The sequence below is a fragment of the Homo sapiens genome, chromosome 4 (assembly GCF_000001405.40).
Source record: "Homo sapiens chromosome 4, GRCh38.p14 Primary Assembly".
NCBI lineage: Eukaryota > Metazoa > Chordata > Mammalia > Primates > Hominidae > Homo > Homo sapiens.
This window is the reverse complement of record NC_000004.12, coordinates 178,915,972-178,918,694: the sequence shown is the minus strand read 5'-3', so window position 1 is coordinate 178,918,694 and position 2,723 is coordinate 178,915,972. Positions and strand designations below refer to the sequence as shown.

The window sequence follows — 2,723 nt, the reverse complement described above, 5'->3', positions numbered from 1 at the left end:
AATTTCTCATACTTAGTACAATTATAATATAAATACAAAGTCAAGCTTTTTAATTTTTGAATATGTGGTTAAATGTTTTAGTTGAAAATTACTTTTTTAATTCTTAATGTATAAATGCTTTTTGTAAAAGTCTTATACAAACAGAAATTTTCTGATTTTCTTAGTAATTACTTATTGTTTGATGAATTTTTGTAAATAAATTTGCATTGTAAGGTTTAGGTGACTTCTAGCCATATTTTATAGCCATAATACATTATAAAGTATGTGTGTGTGTGTGTAGGCACGTTGGTGAGTGTGTGTGTGGGTGGGTGGGTGTGTGAATGGTTCAGCCTCAGTACATGGGAAACAAATCAAATAGAATTTTAAGTTGTGGCAATATTTGAAGGAATACCTGAGTTAATAGAATATCTTAATTCTTAGATTCTATGTTTATAATGTTATAAACATCTGGTAACAAATTTCAAAACTAATCGGTCTTTCCGTTGCTTTCTGTCTTAGTATGTTTAGTGCTGCTATAAAAAAAAATACCTGAGGCTAGTTAATTTACAAAGAAAAGTTTATTTGGCTTTTCTGTATTCTATAGGCTAGAAGATTGGACATCAGGTGAAAGCCTCAGGTTGCTCTCACTCATGGCAGGATGTTTAAGCCAGCATGTGCAGAGATCATATGGTGAGAGAGAAAGCAAGAGAGAGAGAGAGCAGGGAGGTGCCAGGCTCTCTTTAACAACCTGTTCTCAAGGGAAGTGATAGAATGAGAACACACCTCTTACTGTGAGAAAGGCATCAAGCTATTCATGGGGGATCTGTCACAAACCTCCCACAAGGTTCCACCTCCAACACCCGGGATCAAATTTCAACCTAAGGTTTTGGGAACAAATATCCAAACTGTAGAATTTTCAATTGGTAAAGCATTCTCTCCCAAAACCTAAAAAACTCCTCATCAACATTTTCACCAGTCATGTTTTTAGTAGCCACACAATTTTAGGGATCTCACACTAAATTAAAAAGTATTGTTATAAATTCATTTTCATTAATGGTAATCCTCTTTTCATTATCCTTGCATGTTATTCTGATTTTTCTCTCACTAAGAAATGTGCTAAAACTGTATTTTCATAACTGTACTTTCCATTGCTTCAAATAATAATTTGGTGAATGCTACATCAAATCACTAGCCTTTATTTTATTATGTAATTAGGAAAGAAATCCAATTATAACGAAATGGGCTTGATCTTTTCTTCAGTGTTTAGAAATGTGTGTGTATGTATATTATTATGTGTGTGTATGTATGTTACTAAGAAAATCACAAGAAAGAGAAAATACATTGAATATTCATTCGATGGAAGTGGTTTATATAAAGGGGTTCACCCTCATCATCTTCACACTGAGTAGGATGAGGGAAAAGAGGAAGTGGGGTTGGTCTTGCTGTCTCAGGGGTGGCAGAGGCAGAAGAAAACTCATGTATAAGTGAATGTGCACAGTTCAAATTCATGTTGTTCAAGGGGCAACTGTATACTCTCTATATACATATTTCTGCATAGATAACGTTCTACATATTTCTAGACATTATTTATATTTATTTCTAGCATATGTTTTCTAACATAAAATCTTTCTAATTGGAATTTTACAATGGTGAATAGTTATAGTTTTATCAGCAGAAATTATATTTTAGTAGAAATACCAAAATATGGCCAATTCTATCAGCTCTCTATAAAAAGAATGATAGCAGATTAATGCTCCAATGTTATTACTTATAGTTTTGTCCCTGAAACTCATGCTTAGTGATAAGCTTTTGCACAAAATGGAAAAATCAATTTTACGGCCACATACACTACAGGGTAGGCCACTTATTCTCACTCAGCCGATGTTTAGTGTCATTGTCCAAGGCATTCCATTTTCTTAGTTTAAAATTTATGTACTTCAGCTCACTATATAATATAATGCATAGTATCCATCCCTTTCAAAATTACATGACGCGTTTCTGTATCATATCACTTCACTTAGATTTTCTTTGTTCTAATATCACTGTTACTCTCTCAATGATCATCATGGTGCAAAGGAAGCCATGGTAAACCCACGTGACTCTCAACTCTCAATTACAGTCAAAACTTCCCGGATTTTAAAAAATATTAATTAATTTAATGGGAGAATAAGTAATCCAACACAGTCCCCAGTATATAGCAGTGTTTAACAAATATCAGTTTTATTATTTAACTATTTAATGTAATTAATGAGGTTTGCTACCCCTTACAAATTAAGATGTGTGAAATACATTCAAAAGATAGTAGCTACCAGTGTAATAAAAAAGTTGACAAAATAAAGAATGACAATAGGAGGAAAAGGATTTAAACAAAACAAAAATAGACCATGTGTGTTCATTTCTTATACACAATCCATGGTCTCTGTTAATGTCAAAAGACATTTATTTGCAGTGAGTTATAAGCAAAAGAGTTAAACTACTGAGCTCTGTGATAAATCAAATATGAGAGTTAATTGGAAGGTTCAGTGTACATAATGCATAGATTACTTGTGTTCAAAGAATAAGAATTTAATAACATATTAAACTCTACTGATTATATTTTCTGTGATGAGTATAAACAAATGTTAGTTTTTTACAGCATCTCCTTTGATTGATAGAACATTAGCTTTACTTTGAATTGAAACTGCTATAATACTGTTATACTGCAGAAGCACTGGTTGATGGTAATAGTTGGTAACATCTAAGGT

At 32.3% G+C, this 2,723-nt stretch overlaps 1 annotated feature.

Moving 5' to 3' along the window:
* Positions 503-1,062: an enhancer, noted in NCBI's record as "OCT4-NANOG hESC enhancer chr4:179838787-179839346 (GRCh37/hg19 assembly coordinates)". NCBI's record gives its function as "activates a minimal SCP1, AML or CMV promoter by ChIP-STARR-seq in primed H9 embryonic stem cells {active_cell/tissue: H9 hESC(primed)}" and the evidence as "EXISTENCE:reporter gene assay evidence [ECO:0000049][PMID:30033119]".